A 17,376-nucleotide genomic window follows, 5' to 3' on the forward strand; every position below is an offset into this window, starting at 1 on the left:
TAGAGAGAAAGTCATCAACATAAATAATAAGAGTAAACAGATATGAGCAATACTATTTTGCCATAACAGGAATCACTCATCTCTATTAAAAATTTTCTGTAACCAGATGGAATATAAATACAAATGATAAAACCTTCCAATCAAAAGATTACCCTTTGATCCAAACACAAAGGCAAATGGACACTAAACAAAGCCCTGAAGAAAATCTAAATAAACTTCAAAGAACAGAGGGTTTCAGGGGCTTCATTCTCTAGTAGGAAGAGGAAAGCAACAGAAATTATAGACATGATGAATACATCCACGAGCTAGTTTTCTGAAAAAGAGTGTAAAAACAATAACATTTATAAATCTCCAGAGAATCTAACTAAAAGTGAATAGGAGAAAGTAAACATAAACCAAATTAGAAATGAACGGGGAAAGAAATAATAATAATAATAATAATTTTTGGAGACTTCACTGGTCGTTGCATCTTCCCAGATTTGGAAATAGCAAGGTGTTTCACCTTCTGTGAGTGGGGCTCTCAGAATATGGGATGCCTGGCTGGGGGTGGGGGGATTTTATGGCAGGTGGGGGCTCTAGCTTTTGCAGGGCTCCAAGTCATGGGGGTTAGGGGTTATTCCTTGGTTGGATGTTGGCTGGCTTCGGGCTTTCTTGGCGGGTATATAGGTTCACTTTAGACCAGTATTGCCACTGGTTCTCAAATGAGAGAAAAGCGTGGGGCTGAGTCAGTTCTTTTCTGTTTTATTTGAAGATTCGTTTACATTTTCAGCTCGGAGAAGATAATATTCCACGTATCATCTTAGAGCGTGTCTCTCATCGTCCACTATGGGCCAATTCTCCTTTCCATCCTTTAGGGTACCTTTGCCATTTTGACAACCCATACAGACCTTAAACTGCATTCCTTAATATGGTTATGGCTGTTTAAACTAAAATTACAAGATGTTAAAAAAAGAAATACATATTGAACATGGAAAAACAAAAATAAAAAGACTTTATTTGTAGATGACAGGAGTATTTAACGAGAAAAGCCAAAGCAAGCAGATTTTAAAAGTGGGAGAATTAATAAAAGGTTTTAAGTACGACTACCGTTTACAGGGTAAGTTGTCAAAAATGGAATGGATTCCTTTGCTGCAGCGAAGACTAGATGGATCCCTTCTGCCAATGTCATTCCGTTCCTAAAGCAGCGGGAAGCATCGCTTAGAACCCAGGGAATCTGCAGAGGCGGGACTGAAGAGAGCCAAGCAACGCTGTTGGAATAGAGACACACCCTGGGCTAGATGCAGTGAGACCTGGCGCTTTGGGGTAGCAAGGGTCTGGGGGCTGGGTCCTGTCCCTCTGGAGTGCCTGCTGTGTGCTTTATATTAATTTTATTAATAATTGTTCTCAGACGTTAGAATAGTGAAAAATCACCCCAAGAAAGAGTGAAACGTGGAGGTTCCGAGGCCTCTGCCAGGGGCTTCAGCACATCTGCGTGGGGCTGGAATCTACTTTTAGTCCAGTGAGAAGCTGAGGCAGAGTCCCCGATGTCTGTGTGAGGTGCGCAGCTCCGCTTCCTGGGCCTCATTCCTGATTTTCGGATGAGGAAAAGCAGAGCTGAGCGGGATGCAGGGACCCACGCACAGTGCTGCTGCTGAGTACAGAGCTGGGCGGGACGCAGGGACCCACGGACAGTCCCGCTGCTGATACAGAGCTGGCCTTGGGTGTGCCTCGTTTGGCTTCTGCAGGCAGAGGGAGTGACTGTGTGCGTGTGGGCCCGTGGACGCACGTGCAGGCACATATGTACATGTGTGCCATGCATGAGGTGCTTGTCTTCACCATTGCAAGCAGCAGGGACCACCGGCACCAAGAGGTGCTGTGCAGACCCCAGCCCATTTCTCAGGACTCCATGGGCGCGCACAGGACGTGCTCTCGTCCCTGCCAGGGAAGTGGCTCCTGGCGGTCTGGGCTCCTGTTGCTAGGAAACCGCTCCCTTCGATTGTGTATGTCGAGCATGCCTGTGTTTGTCTTTGGCTCTCAGAAGGACAAAATTCACCATGTGGCGACGGAGAAATAATATTGAAAAGTACTTAAAAAATGAAAGAAGTGCCAAATGGCGCTCTGGATTGCAGATGCTCCCCGTGCTGCTGGCGTCGCGTGGATGGGGGACCCGGGCTGCATTCTGAGGCGCTGCTCTGTCTCCCATGTACTCTGCCTTGCTCCCAGATAGCTCTGCGCACAGCCCTGTCCTGTGTCCCTCTGGCATGCAGACCGTGGTGTGCAGGTTTGCAGGGCAGCATGGGGCTTGTGGCTTGCCCTCTGTCCCTGCTCTCTCTCTCTCTCTCTTTGTTGAGACAGGTGTCCAGGCAGAAGGGAAGGCCGCTTGTAAGTTTGAGCCATCTCTTAGTGTCTGGAGAAGTGGGGAGTCGTGGGGACATGGCAAGGCACACTTCACCCATCTGGAGGCAGAAGATGCTAGGGAGAGAGCGGTAACTGCTTTTGAGGTGGCGCTGGTCTGTCCTGACCACCTGTGACTCTGTGGGCAAAGGTCAAGGTTGCATTACAGCCTGTGGGTCAGGATGCAGGTGCTCTATCAATGGCTGGCTGCCTGGGAGAGAACTGGGGATTTTCTTGCCATGCGGCAGGAAGGAGAGTTCGCTCTGGTGCCTGGTGGCCTCTTCCCCATTGCCTCCTTCCCTGCTACACTTCTGGCTGCTCACACCTCCAGCCCATCCATTTGTGTCAGGGCCCCTGGGTCCTTGGTGCCCCGGCCCACACCAGGCCTTGGCTCCGGTTGACATGTGACTTTGAACTCCCCATCCCAGGGCTGCTTGTTCCAGCAGGCAATTCCCTGGACTGACCTCTTTTCAAGTTCCGCGAGTTGATCATGGCCCCTGGTGTGAGCTTGAGCATTTCCTGCCGCCTCCTTGTCTGCCTGCTGATGCTCTCGGCATCTCCGGCAAGCCCCCCTCCGACCCTCTGTAACCTACAAGCAAGCAGAGCCGGGAGAGGCTGCACAGGCAATCAGGCGCTCTGGCTGACGAGGATGCCTGAAGATGAAATATGAATAAGAATATGCACTGGGGGCCTGTGGGCCCTGCTGGCAAACTTGCACCTTGTCTGGCCTCCATGTGGGCCCAAACCTGCCTCCCGACCTCCCTCGGCAGGTGGAGGTGTGAATGTTGGGGGCCGCCGAACACTAGGAAGTGTCCTCATGCATCACAATTACAGAAACACCTGTGCTAAATACCTTTGTGCTGGTTGGTTGTGCAAATTCACGAGGTGTTCAATTGCTTCCAAATTTCTTATTTCTACACTGTCAACAAGCCGCAGGTGTGCACGGCATGAGCCGCCGCCGCTGTGGTTTGGAGGCCTGTGCTGACAGCTTTGCATCCAGCATGCATTTGTCCTCACCAGCGCCCTGCACCCCATATACATCCCCACATTTACAGAGGGCTCGGAGGAGATTCGTCACGTCGGACCTGCCTCTCGGCTCTTGGCATCCAAGGATGGGAGGAGGGAGCAGAAGGTAAAAGCGCCGCGGATGGAGCTCAGCAGGCTCTCAGGTGGGACAGGCGCCGTCTGAGGCCTTACCTGTGGAAAATGGGGAGCAGGGCCACAAGGAGTTTCTGCTCAAGAGAACAGACGGGCTCGAGGTGCGTGCTGCTGGCCTGTGCTTGCATCTGGCCTGGGCTATTTTAAAGAATTTTGTGATCATTACTAATATCAAATGTCAAGAACGTTCACCTATTAAATCTGGATTTCTGGCTCATTTTGGACAATGGACAGTCCGTCCTGCAGAGCCCACATTCCCCTGTTTAAAGCACGATTATTGGCCTCCTCTATGGAAGGAACACGCCCTTCTTGGCAGGCTTCATGCCCCACCATCCCTTGCTGGGCCCCTGCAGGCAATTGGGTTGGTGGCAAGTGGCTGAGAATGCTGCTTCCACATGCACACAGGCAGCTGGGCAGATGCATGGCATTCTCCTCCGGATGGCGGCCTCGAGAACAGGCTTACAGAATTCTGCAGACCCCACACTTGAATATTTTTCTGGATTTGTGCATAAAATTGTTCCTGAGTATTTCCTAATTTAGAAACATAACACTGGGAATTTCCTGCTGGCAACATTTTGGATTGAGACTTTAGGTGTTTTCTAGCTTTCTAGTTGGTGAGTAGCCAAAACTGCTGGTGCTCTTTGTGACTGTCTCTCTCCCTGCAGATGCTCCGCCTGTCGCATGATCAACCCTGGCAACCACAAGCCCTGTTGCTGCAGGGCCGGTGCTCCCATGGGAAGGAGCTGAACCAGTGTCTTGGGACCCCGACCTTTGTGCTGGAACCAGAGCTTCATCCAGTTCTCCATCCACATGCAGGCGCCAGGGGTGGGGCAGGGATGTTGGGAGGCAGCATCCTCTCTCAGTTGGCTTTGGCATCTCTGTCTGGGTGCCTGTGAGTTCCATACAGCTGCTCTGCCAGTGCAGGTGTTTCCGAGTAAATAACCACTGCCCTTAATAAGTCCAGATTCAGCCACTTTGTTAACAAATGAGGTTCCTGGGTGTATACCCAAAGGATTATAAAACATGCTGCTATAAAGACACATGCACACGTATGTTTATTGCGGCACTATTCACAATAGCAAAGACTTGGAACCAACCCAAATGTCCAACAATGATAGACTGGATTAAGAAAATGTGGCACATATACACCATGGAATACTATGCAGCCATAAAAAATGATGAGTTCATGTCCTTTGTAGGGACATGGATGAAGATGGAAACCTCATTCTCAGCAAACTATCGCAAGGACAAAAAAACCAAACACCTCGTGTCCTCAATCATAGGTGGGAATTGAACAATGAGAACACATGGACACAGGAAGGGGAACATCACACACTGGGGACTGTTGTGGGGTGGGAGGGATAGCACTAGGAGAAAACCTAATGCTAAATGATGAGTTAATGGGTGCAGCACACCAACATGGCACATGTATACATATGTAACAAACCTGCACATTGTGCACATGTACCCTAAAACTTAAAGTATAATAATAATAATAAAAAAAAGAGGTTCCACACACTTCCGGAAGGCTGGATGCACTCACAGCAACCTTTGCCCACCTTCACTATTTGATCACTAACAGTATGTTTCCATCTCCCTAGGTGTATCAGGAACTGAACAGGATAGAATAAAATTAATACGACATGCATCTCTTGAGTGTCTACTCTGTATCAAGAACCATGCTAACTCAAAAGCACAGTGGTGAGCATATTACACGTGGATTCTGCCCCTGCTGCTGCAAACTCACCAAAGAACATGCTGGACACACAGCTCAGAAAAGGGCCAGGGGCCAGGCTGCAGTGCATTCTGCCAGGGCTCTGGAAAGCAGGGGCCATGCTGACTGAGGATGTGAGGGAATGCTTCCCGGTGGCAGTAGCATTTGAGGTCTTGCAGGATAGAGGATGACCATTCCAGGGAGGGGCACTGAGCACAGCATGGACATACAAAGCTGGTGACACCAGGTCAGAGGAAACAGACACACTCAGCTTCCCATGAGTGCATGAAAGATCCAGGCTGGAGCCTTCTCTGGGAGGAAGTTGGTCTGGGGTGGGGCCGAGGGGGCCGAGTCTCCCATACCTGAGGGAAGAGACGGTTAGACGTTGCACGTGTGTATTCTCATCCCTCCGTCTCCTCTCTCACGAAGGCATTTTCTTGAGTGCTTCCTCTCATGAACACTCTTCAGTGGGCCCACTGCACACCATTCCTCTGCCTCCTTTTTCTCCACCTACTAGCAAGGCTAAGCTCCCAGCCTGCCCTAGCCTGGACACCTGCTGGCAAAAATCTGCAGCCCCACTGACTGGCCTCAACCTGAAATCAGGACCTCAAAGGACAATCAACCATGCAGCCAACTCACCTGCCCTGCTTTTGTGTATTTCCTCTCCCACTCTCCAACGTGATTCTTCCACACCATCTTCTCCCCCTCTATCTTCTCAAACTCTTCATTTGGCATCCCCCTACCAAACTCCCAGCCAGGACCTTATTCTTATGTCACTGAGCAAAACCATTAGATGGGGACCGAGCATCTTCCCACCACCACCTCAGCCCGTCACCTGCATCTGTCTCTACTTTCATGTCCTGGAGGAGGAAGAGCCTTGCTCCCATCAGAGGGAGCTCCTCCTCCTGGGTGGGGGGAACTTCTTTTGCCTTCCCGGGACTTTGCATCTGCAATTGTGCCCCTGTCTCTGGCATCGCTAATCATCCCCATTGGATAATGGCCTGTAGCATGCATGAAGATGTCTTAAGGAGACTGTCCTCTGGGGCCCCTCATCTCTATCCAGCGATGACTACGCTTCTTTTCCGGGCCAACCAAGGCCCCTGCTGGGTGAGGTGTGTGTTCATGTGTTGGTCCCCAATGTCCCTTGATTGAAGAGTGATGTCTATTTTTTCTGCTGGCGCGCTGGCCAGGTGGCTGCCTCTAGCTCCCCTGGCTCCCCTGCTGTGATAAAAATCTCCCCAATCCCAGGCTTTTGTGTCCTGCAGCAAAACAGCCTTGCCTTGCTCCTCTCCTAGTGGATCCCAATCAGGCTTTATATTTTAGCTAAAGACTCACTTCCTCAGCGCACCTGTTCCCCTGGCCACCGACGCCAACTGTCCCTCCCATTAGAGGCTTCCCCTGCGTCTCTGTAGACCTGGCACCGTGAGAGTGTCAGATTTGAGTGGTGTGTTTTTTGATATGAGAATGTTGGCTGAAAGTTAGAAGACTTGCTCATGAGCCCCTTGCTCCTCTGCGCAGGAGCCTGAAGCCAGCCCCAGTGGCTTTGTCCTGACCGTATGCCGCTGCCCTGAGGACCACACTCTCTCCTGGCTGGCAGCCCCGCTCCAAAGCTGCCTGAGCACTTCCAGCCGGAACTTGGGGCGGGTGGACATCCCTTTCATGAATTGTCAGTTTACCGTTGAAGAATGGGAGGAGGGAGAATTGAAAGGAAAGGAGAGAGGGAGGAGTGCCTTGTGAAGATGGAGGCGGAGTTGGCACCTCACTGCTGCAGCTGAGGTGTACCAAAGTGTCACCAGAAGCTGGGACAAAGCCAGGGATGGCTCCTCCTTCAGAGCTTCAGAGGAGCCCACCTTACCAACACCTGGACTCCTGGTCTCCAGAGCTGCAGGAGAACACACTTCTACTGCTTGGAGCCCCCTGCATTGTGAGAAGTTGTTACTGCAGCCCCAGGAAATGGATACAACAATCAAAAAACATCAGGGGATTTGGTAACATGGATCTCATTGGCATAAAATAAATAGGCAGAAAATCTAATTCTTTAAATTTGATTGCATTTTGACACATTGGCTGATCCATTTTACTATCCACTAATTGAATAAATACATGAAAACTATTTTGTTTTTAAAAATGGAGGTGACAGGAGCCTGCAGTGCAGGTTAGAGGACACACAGAGGGAGGTGACCCCCAGGACCCAGCTGACCCCATAGGATAGAATATTCCAAGTGTTGCAGCCTCCGTACAGACTAGGGGTCACAGCGCTGCTGTTCTGCAAATTTATCTCTGAATCATTTTCACAAACTCTGTTTTGGGTTAAAGACAGAAATCTACCAAACAGCACACAGATTAACCTATCACTGAGTTAAATGGGTTGTCAGTGTGGGGAGCCTGGGCTCGGCCCAGTGAATTCAAATGCATGTAAATTTCCCTGGTGGCAGAAGAGAGGATGGTGGGGCTGTCAGCCGGTGACATGTGGAAATACATTAACAGTGTTTAAAATACATTTGAAGGGGCCGGCTCATATTCTGATAACACGCTCCCTGACAAATGATTTGTGGAAGATGGGAAATTCCAGTCTCATCATCAATTCCAGAGGAATCTTTGTAATAAGCCCCTCCCAGGACGTCGGGTGTTTTAGACAAGTTCTAAAACAATTAACAATGCCTGCCTGGGCCAAAGCAGGTCCCCTGTGCCACTGAGGGATGGAGCCAGCATTCTGATAGCATTGCTTGTCAGCGTCACTCCCGCTTACAAAAAAGTGATTAAAAACTTCAAAAGAACCAGTTTCATTGTGTTATACACCTGTAGAGTGGCTACCCCACACGGAAGGCACTGGATCCTCTCAATTCTGCATCTCACTTGGCTCGGTGGTTTTAGTCTTGCATATTTGGTAGGAAGCTGGATGTTCCTGACTTAACGTAATTACTCTCAATGTTTAAGGAAAAGAGAGCTACTGAGAGCCGCACTGTGTCTGTTTAAAGAACGGACCTGTCCCTTTGGGGTGTGAGTTAGTTTTCATAACTGCAGGGCTTGCTGGATGTCTCCCCAGTTTTCAAGTGAGGCCCCAAAGTAAGTGACTCTTGAATGGTAAATGTGGGCTCTCTATACCCCCAGCTTCCCAGGATAAATAGAGCAAGTTCTTCTATAAAGACAAGTCACAATCTGCTGTCATCTCCTGGGTCCCTTCTTGCTCTCCTAGCCACGCAGAGTCCTGGAGTCCTAATTGCATCTCAATTCCAATCTCTCCAGGTCTCCTTTACATGGCAGGCTACCTTGAAAATTGGTGCTCAAGAGCCAGCGTCTCCTGGCAGTGCCAGAGATACAGTGGAGCTGGACCCTTTCTTGAGCTAGAAATAAAGTCATTGATATCCACGACCTAAACTGGAACTGTGATCCCTTTCTTGATATATTCCTTTTAAATCATACATATTAATATCTGAATTGATGTGACAGAATAATGAACTAGGTCTTGGTCCTGAGCTCACTGAGGACACACACACACAATTTGAAAACTACAGGACAAGGGCTGCAATGACAGATCTTACAGGAAGCTTTGCAAGCACAGTGGTCTGGCACCTAACTCAGAATAGGGCTGAGAGCCAGATGTGGGCAGGCTACCCAAGGGAGGCCGGGAGTTGGCGAGGTGCAGATGGGCAGGGAAGAATGATCATGGCTGGGCCCCCCATATGTAAAGGTATGAGAATTGAGCATTCATTATGCACCTACTCTGTGCTGTGTCCTGGAACTCAGTTTGGGGATTTGGAAAGAAAAGACTAACCTCCTTCAAGGAGGCTATTGGAAGAAATGACCTTGACTGATCTGTGAATCACAGATCACTGTCAGTACCCGAGTAAAACCTGCATCTCCAGAAACAGGTCTGCGATGGCCATTTCTCTCCAGCAGGATTTCTCAGCCTCGGCGTTATTGACAGTTGGGCTGGAGAGTCCTTCCCTGTGGCGAGCTGTCCTGTGTGTTATAGTTTCACCACATCCCTGGCCTCTACACATGATATGCCAGGGGCACCACTCAACCTCAAGTTGTGACAACCAAAACTGTCTGCAGTCATTGCCAAATATACCATCAGAGGCGCCATGATTTCTACTTGGCAATAACTACTCTACAGCCAAAGGGAGAGCAAGAAAGCTCTGTCTTGCTTTATTCATCACTAAATGTGGAATCGGGTAGGCTATGACTAGGAGGCCTATGTTCAAAGGGCTCAGACAGGTGGGAGGGTGTTATTTTTTCAGACAACAGTCCAGCATTGTTCGGTGGCCCAAAGTGGGCAGACAGGGCCACTCCTGAGCTGTGCAGAGACTGGAAGTCTCCGTCTTGTGACTTGCTCCCAAGGTGTTGCTCCTGACTGAGGGTGTAACCTGGCCCATGTGGGCCTTGGAGAGGAAGCAAAGAACAAGGTGGGGAAGCAATGTTATCACTGAAATCCACCAGGAAGCTGCCCATAGGGGTTCTGTTTACTTGTCCACAGTCACGTCACCCTTCCTCGGTGCAAGCCGAGGAGCGAAGTTAACCCACCGCTGGGTGGCCACGCCCCTGGTGACAATGCAGGGGGAAGGTGGCAGTTACTAAAAGGAGGAGGGCAGTGGGACACCGGGGAAGTGACAAGTCTCTGCTACACCCAACAGACGCCCAAGCGGAGCCTGCTGGGCATGGACACGGACTCAGGCACTGGGGACAGGCAGCAGGTCAGACAGGTAGTCCCTGTCCCAACAGCACGTATACTGCACTGAGGTGGAGAGAGACTGACAGTTACAAAAAGAAATGAATGTAAGTTTTGATAAGTACCTTGAAGGAGACAAATCAGGGCACTGAGGGAGAGAGAATAAAAGTGCGGGGACTGACTTTAGACTGGTGGGTGGAGAGGGCGTCATGTAAGATGTGACAACTGAGGTGAATCTTGTGTGACCAGAGGGAGCCAGCCATGGGCAGCAAGGTTGTGTGTGTGGTGTGTGTGTGTGTGCGTGCGGTGTTGGTATGTGTGCTGCGTGTGCATGTGTGTGGGGTGTGTGGTGTGTGTGTGTGCATGTGGTGTAGGTATGTGTAGTGTGTGTGCACGATGTAGGTATGTGTAGCGTGTGTGTGGGGTGTGTGTGCACGTGTGTGTGCATGTGGTATAGATATCTGTAGTGTGTGCCTGTGTGTATCAGGGGCATGTGCATGTGTGTGTGGTGTGTGTGTACATGCAGTGTAGGTATGTGTAGTTTATGTTCACATGTGTGGTGTGTGTGCACATGCATGTGCACGTGTCTGTAGGTATGTGTAGTGTGTGTGTGCACATGTAGTGTGTGTGCATGTGTGTGGTGTGTGTGCTTATGGTGTAAGTATGTGTCTTGTGTGCACACGTGTGTGTGTGCATGGTGTGTGTGCACATGTGCGTCTATGTCTGCGTGTAGGTACGTGTAGAGTGGTGCACGTGTGCGTGTGTGTGTGTGTGTCTACGTGTATGTAGTCAGGGAAGTGCATTCCAGGCAGAGAAGACATGCGCAAGCCATAAGGCAGAGAAACAGCCAACATAACCCCTCTGTCTCTGGTTCCATGCTGCAGTGAGCCATGATTGCGCCACTGTACTCTAGCCTGAGTGACAGAGGCAAGACCGTGTCTCAAAACAAAACCAAGCCAAACAAAACATTAGAATCAGTTTATCAGATTCCACAGAACATTATACTAGAATTTTACTAGGAGCATGGTATATTTTGTGCTATTTTTATGTCTTCTAATAAATTTTATTGTTTTCTTTATCAAGGTTCATTTTTCTTTGTCTGCCAGTTTTGTCTCATTTTCTCTAAGCTTTTTCACCTTGAGTTTTTCTAAACTACAGAAAAGTTGAAAGATTGGTACAATGAGTCTTCACATAGTCTCCACCAAAATTTATAAATTATTAATATCTTATCACTTTTATGTTTTATGAACAATTAGAGAGTAAGTTGCAGAAGTCGTGACACCTCACCCCCACATGATTTACATTTCCAATGAAAGGAAAGAAACCACTCTTCTGCATAACCACAGTATTGTCATTATAAACAAGACATTGAATCGGATTAAAGTTCTCTGTTGTTCAAAATATGTCTTCAATAGCTGTTTTCCTCCATCTTGTATCCAATAAATGATTATTCATTGGGTTTTGGTTGACATATCAATCAACCCATTTTAAACTGCAACATTCTCATGACTTTTTTTCTTTTATTATTCATGGCACTAATATTTCCAGGCATCTAGGATCCAGGCCAGTTCTGTTGCAGAATGTCCCATAATTTGATTGTTTCCTTGTCATTTGACTATGCTTTGTTGACAAGAATACTTCCTACTATACTGTAGGTGAGGTTGGGCTCAGGCTACTGCTTTGTAGCAAAAGACACAAACTGTCAGGTTGTCCCATGATTGGTGATACTAAGTTTGGTCACTTAGTTGCTTACAATGGTGTTCACCACATCCCTCCCCTGTAAAGGCATTTTGCCCCCTTTTTAATTAAGAATGAATCTGTTGAGGGTGCGAGGCCAGGATGGCTGACTAGAAGCAGCGGTGATGGGAGGCCCCCATCGAAAAGAACCATAACAGCGTGCCAATCCTGCACCAGCAACCAAGGTATCCAAGTTCTGTCATCAGAACTGACTAGGTGGCTGGCATGACCCACGGAGAGGAAGAAAGAGTGGCGTGGTGCAGCAGCCCACCTGACAGCCACATGAAGCAGGGGAGCCCCCACCCCCCAGCTAAGGGAGGCAGTGAGTGAGCATGCTACCTACCTGGAAAAACATGCTTTTTCTACGGAACTGTGCAACCCACAGATTGGAAGATCCCACTCGTGAGCCCACATCACCAGAGCCTAGGGTCCTAACTACGGAGCCTTGCAGAGTCTCAACAGCCACTAAGCTAGAATCTGCTTAAGCCTGTTGAGCTCCCGGAGGGAGGGGTGACCAGCACCACAGCTGCGGCTGCCTGCTGTCTAAGCAGTTTGAGCTCCTTGGGAGAAAGGCAACAGCCAACACTAGGACGGATAGCCACCTAACACACTAAGCTCCCAGGGCGGGGGAAGGGCGGGAGCCATCTCTATAGCTCCAGGCCGTGTTTTCCTCTGCTGGAGGGAGGGAGGCTGGAAGGCTTAGTGCCAATAGGTATCCCCCACAGCCCAACACACTGGCTGTGGCAGACTGCAGACAGAGTGCCTCTTCAGGCTTGACCTTGACCCACCCTTCGTTACTGGGTGGGGCCTCCATGTAGGAACTCCGACAACTCCAGCCAGGGGCTCAGGGAGAGGACTTTGATCTCCCTGGGCCTCAGCCTCTAGGGGGAGGGGTGGCCGCAGACTCTATAGACCAGCAGACTTAGTCTTTCCTCCTGCTAGTTCTGAGGAATCCGGGAAGTCCAGATGAGTGGGTTTCCCCCCAGCAAAGCACAACCCCTCCACCATGGGACAGTCAAAGTGCTTCATTAAATGGGTCCTGTTCCCCATGCCACCCAATTGGGGGAGACCCTCCAACAGGGGTTATCAGACGCCCTATATGGGAGCGTTCCTACTGGCATCAGGCTGGCACTCCTTGAGGTCAGAGATCCCAGAGGAAGGAGCAGGCACCCTTCTTTGCTGTTCTCCAGCCTCCTCAAGTGACATCTCCAGGTGTGAGAGTGAACCCAATGAATAGGGCCTGAAGTGAACCCCCAGCAAACTGCAGCAGCCCTACAGAAGAGGGACCTGACCATTGCAAGACAACAAACAAACAGAAAGCAACAACAACAGTATCAACAAAAAAAAGTCCCCACAAAAACCCCATCTGAGAGTCAGCCGGCTCAAAGATTGATACTAGACAAACTCAAGAAGATAAGAAAGAATCAGCAAAAAAAATGCTGAAAACCCAAAGGGCCAGAGTGCCTCTTCTCCTCCAAATGATTGCAGTGCCTCTCCAGCAAGAGTGCAGAACTGGATGGGGTATGACATGGACAGAATTGACAGAAGTAGGCTTCAGAAGGTGGATAATAACAAACTTCACTGAGCTAAAAGAGCATGTCCTAACCCAATGCAAAGAAGCTAAGAACCTTGAAAAAAGGTTAGAGGAGCTGCTAACAAGAATAATCAGTTTAGAGAGGAACATAAGAGACCTGATGGAGCTGAAAAACATAGCACAAGAACTTCGTGATGCATACACAAGTATTGATAGCCAAATAGATGAAGCAGAAGAAAGGATATCAGAGTTTGAAGACCTTCTTGCTGAAATAAGGCATGCAGACAAGATTAGAGAAAAAAGAATGAAAAGGAATGAATGAAACCTCTGAGAAATATGGGACTATGTAAAAAGACCGAACCTATGACTGATTGGAGTACCCGAAAGTGACGGGCAGAATAGAACCAAGGTGGAAAATGTGCTTCAGGTTACTACCCAGGAGAACTTCCCCAACCTAGCAAGACAGGCCAACATTCAAATTCAGGAAATACAGAGAACACCACTAAGATACTTTACGAGAAGATCAACCCCAAGACACATAATCATCAGATTCTCCAAGGTTGAAATGAAGGGAAAAATGTTAAGGGCAGCCAGAGAGAAAGGCCAGGTCACCTACAAAGGGAACCCCATCAGACTAACTGTGGACCTCTTAGCAGAAACCCTACAAGGCAGAAGAGAGTGGGGGCCAATATTCAACATTCTTAAAGAAAAGAATTTTCAACTCAGAATTTCATATCCAGCCAAACTAAGATTCATAAGTGAAGGAGAAATAAAATCCTTTCCAGACAAGCAAATGCTGAGGTACTTTGTCACCACCGGGCCAGCCTTATAAGAGCTCCTGAAGGAAACACTAAACATGGAAAGGAACAACCGGTACCAGCCACTGCAAAAACACACCAAAATATAAAGACCAATGACACTATGAAGAAACTGCATTAACTAGTGTGCAAAATAACCAGATAGCATCATGATGACAGTATCAAATTCACACATAACAATACTAACCTTAAATGTAAATGAGCTACATGCCCCAATTAAAAGACACAGACTGGCAAATTGGATAAAGAGTCAAGACATATTGGTGTGTTGTATTCAGGAGACCCATCTCACGTGCAAAGACACACATAGGCTCAAAGTAAAGGGCTGGAAGAAAATGTACCAAGCATATGGAAAGCAAAAAAAAAAAAAAAAAAAAAAAAGCAGGCATTGCAATCCTCCAGAAATAGACATGGAGTCCCTTGCATTTGGTGCTCAATTATAAGACAGTTAGAAATAGATAAATTGATAGATAGATAGATAATAAACAGATAAATAGATGATAGAAAGATAGATAAATAGATAGATAGACAGATAGATTCTATAATGTCAACAAAGATTGACTGAGGAACGATGAGCTGAGCTATGTCCAGAACTCACACATATCTGGGTGACTGTAGTGTTCCAAGGATCCACATGAGAGAGTCCTCACTGAACGTTCGGAGTACTCAAAGAAGACCCCAGAAGGGCCACACTTGGCAGCAGAGATAAACTAGAACAGACTCTACAACCACTCTAATAAAGTTTAAAAACAAATCTTATAATAATCAAATGGATCCTTAAGTAACCTAACTTCTTGCAAGAAAAATGCCCAATAGTCTTTGAAAGAAGACAATAAAATTCAACATACAACAACATGAAATTTACAGTGTCCATCTTCAAGTTAAAAATTATGAGATACGTGAAGAGACAGAAAATGTGAGAGAAATCAGAATATAAGAATAGACCTAATAAGCAGACAAAAATTTTACAAAACCTGTTATAAAAATATTCAATATACACAAAATTAGGAAAGAAAAGAAATACTAATGCCACTTTTAGAGATGAAAACTACAGTATCTGAATTTAAAAATATACTGAATGGGATTGGCAGCAGATGAACCTTGAATACATAGCAATAAAAAACTGCAATATTAGCACAGAGGTAAAAAATGACTTGGAGAAAAGTAAATAGAGGTACAGTGATATGTGATATGATACCAAGTGGTCTAACATGCTTAGAATAGGTGATCGCGAAGGTTAAAACAAAGGGAGACAGAAAAATACTAAAACTTTCAAATTTTACAGAGTATAAATTCATAGGTTTAAGAAGCTCAATAAACCCAGAGCAGAATCAACATTAAAAAATACTAAGGGCATTGTAATTATTGATTAACACCAGTGATATATAAAGAAATATGTAAATATGCCTTGTTATTTTAAAAAAGCACATTATGTACAAAGGAACAAGGTAATCATAACCTCAGTTGTCTCACATGTAAGCCAGAAGACGATAAACTAAAATCTTTAGAAATGTAAACCTAGAGATACATAAACAGCAAAAATACGTCTTTCAAAAATGAAGATAAAATAAAGACATTTCACAGGCCAGTGGAATCTAGGAGAAGCACTAACAGTCCTGCACTGAAAGAAATGAGGAAGGAAATTCCACAGGCTGAAGAACTAAACCAGATATAAATATGGATGTACAAAAGTGATGAAAGTCGGAAAGGAAAATACATGTGTAAATGTAAAAGATTTACTTTTATTTATTTTTTACTTATTTTTATTATTTTTTTATTATTTTATTATTATTTATTATTATTTTTTATTTATTTTTACTTACAAGATAATGGTTTAGAAAAGAAAAAAGACATAAAAGAACAACCAATACATGAAGCAACATGAATCTTAAAATAATTACACTGAGCCAAAAAAGTCTGCCATAAAAGAATACATACCATATGATATTTACAGACAGTTTGCACTTTGCCCAACAGTGCAGGACTAAAAAGTGATAGCGCAAGCTGAAACTATGCAAAGTGGCGTCAATAATCCATGGGAAGAGTTATACTTGTTCTGTGATCTTTAACAATTTTTGTCAAAACATTAATAATTATCTCACTGTTGGTTATAAATAAGAAAATAAAAACTATAAAAACTAGTATTTATTTAGTGCATGGTAATGTAAACCATTACAAACACTGAGAATTAAAGTGTTTTATTTCTTTGTTTCAAAACACCTTTTCAACAGTGCTTGCATTTTTCTTCTCATGCTATAATTTAAAATATGAGTGAGCATCTTTTCAAAGCCTGAATGAATTGCCCTACCTCTAAGTTTGGATCAGTCTAACATTTTATCCATTGTGCTTTCAGTGTCATAAAATCTCTCCCAAACTCTTTTTTTTTGTTTTTTGTTTTTTTGAGGCAAGTCTTGCTCTGTCATCAGGCTGGAGTGAAGTGGCGTGACCTTGGTTCACTGCAACCTCCACCTCCTGGGTTCAGGCAATTCTCCTGCCTCAGCCTCCCAGGTAGCTGGGATTAAAGGTGCATGCCACCAAACCCAGCTAATTTTTGTGTTTTTAGTAGAGACGGCTTTTCACCATGTTGGCCAGGCTGGTCTTGAACTCCTGACCTCAGGTGATCCACCTGCCTCGGCCTCCCAAAGTGCCGGGATTACAGGTGTGAGCCACCGTGCCCTGCCCAAACTCTCTTTAATGTGATGATTTTGCCAGGATTATTTCCTCTGGGACACCTTCATCCTTTTCATCATAAACATTATCTTCATTTATGTAAATAAGCTCACCTTCACTAAATTCTTCTGGCTGCATATGTAGTTTCTTAGACTGCCAACATTCCCATAGTCATATATTTCTTCTGTTACTCAATTTACATTTGCTTCAAACCTTACTTCCAGCTTGATCACTTTTTATTTCTTTGCTGCACTTTCACCTGCATTTGGCCACATTCCCCTTTTGATTATTCCTGTTTGTAAAATGTCACATAGGTTGATCACTGGGAGAGAGGGAGACAATACAACTACACGTTTTGCTGTCTGTGCATGAGATGAATAACAGATGCACAGTGACCAGTCACTAGCCAACTTCGAGATAACTGAGGTGACTGACATGTGTTTGCTATTTTCATAGGGATGTGTGGGCTGAAAAAATAGCAAAATTTGTACTTTAGGTATTGACTCAGAGTTTGAAGCATGTTGTTGGGGAACTGGTGTTAACTAAGCCATAGTAACTGAAATTCACACATATCAGTACCATGTTAAGCAAATGCTGCCTGTATACGAAAGCATTGAAAAGACAAATCTAATTTACAGCGGCAAAAAGCAGATTAATGGATACCTGGGGCTGGGGTTTGGTAGATGGGGAATAGACTACA

The 17,376-nt window shown here is 46.2% G+C and overlaps 2 annotated features.

Moving 5' to 3' along the window:
* Positions 6,335 to 6,836: an enhancer, noted in NCBI's record as "H3K4me1 hESC enhancer chr10:130232943-130233444 (GRCh37/hg19 assembly coordinates)". NCBI's record gives its function as "activates a minimal SCP1, AML or CMV promoter by ChIP-STARR-seq in primed H9 embryonic stem cells {active_cell/tissue: H9 hESC(primed)}" and the evidence as "EXISTENCE:reporter gene assay evidence [ECO:0000049][PMID:30033119]".
* Positions 11,624 to 12,124: an enhancer, noted in NCBI's record as "H3K4me1 hESC enhancer chr10:130238232-130238732 (GRCh37/hg19 assembly coordinates)". NCBI's record gives its function as "activates a minimal SCP1, AML or CMV promoter by ChIP-STARR-seq in naive H9 embryonic stem cells {active_cell/tissue: H9 hESC(naive)}" and the evidence as "EXISTENCE:reporter gene assay evidence [ECO:0000049][PMID:30033119]".

Source organism: Homo sapiens, chromosome 10, assembly GCF_000001405.40.
Source record: "Homo sapiens chromosome 10, GRCh38.p14 Primary Assembly".
Taxonomy (NCBI): Eukaryota; Metazoa; Chordata; class Mammalia; order Primates; family Hominidae; genus Homo; species Homo sapiens.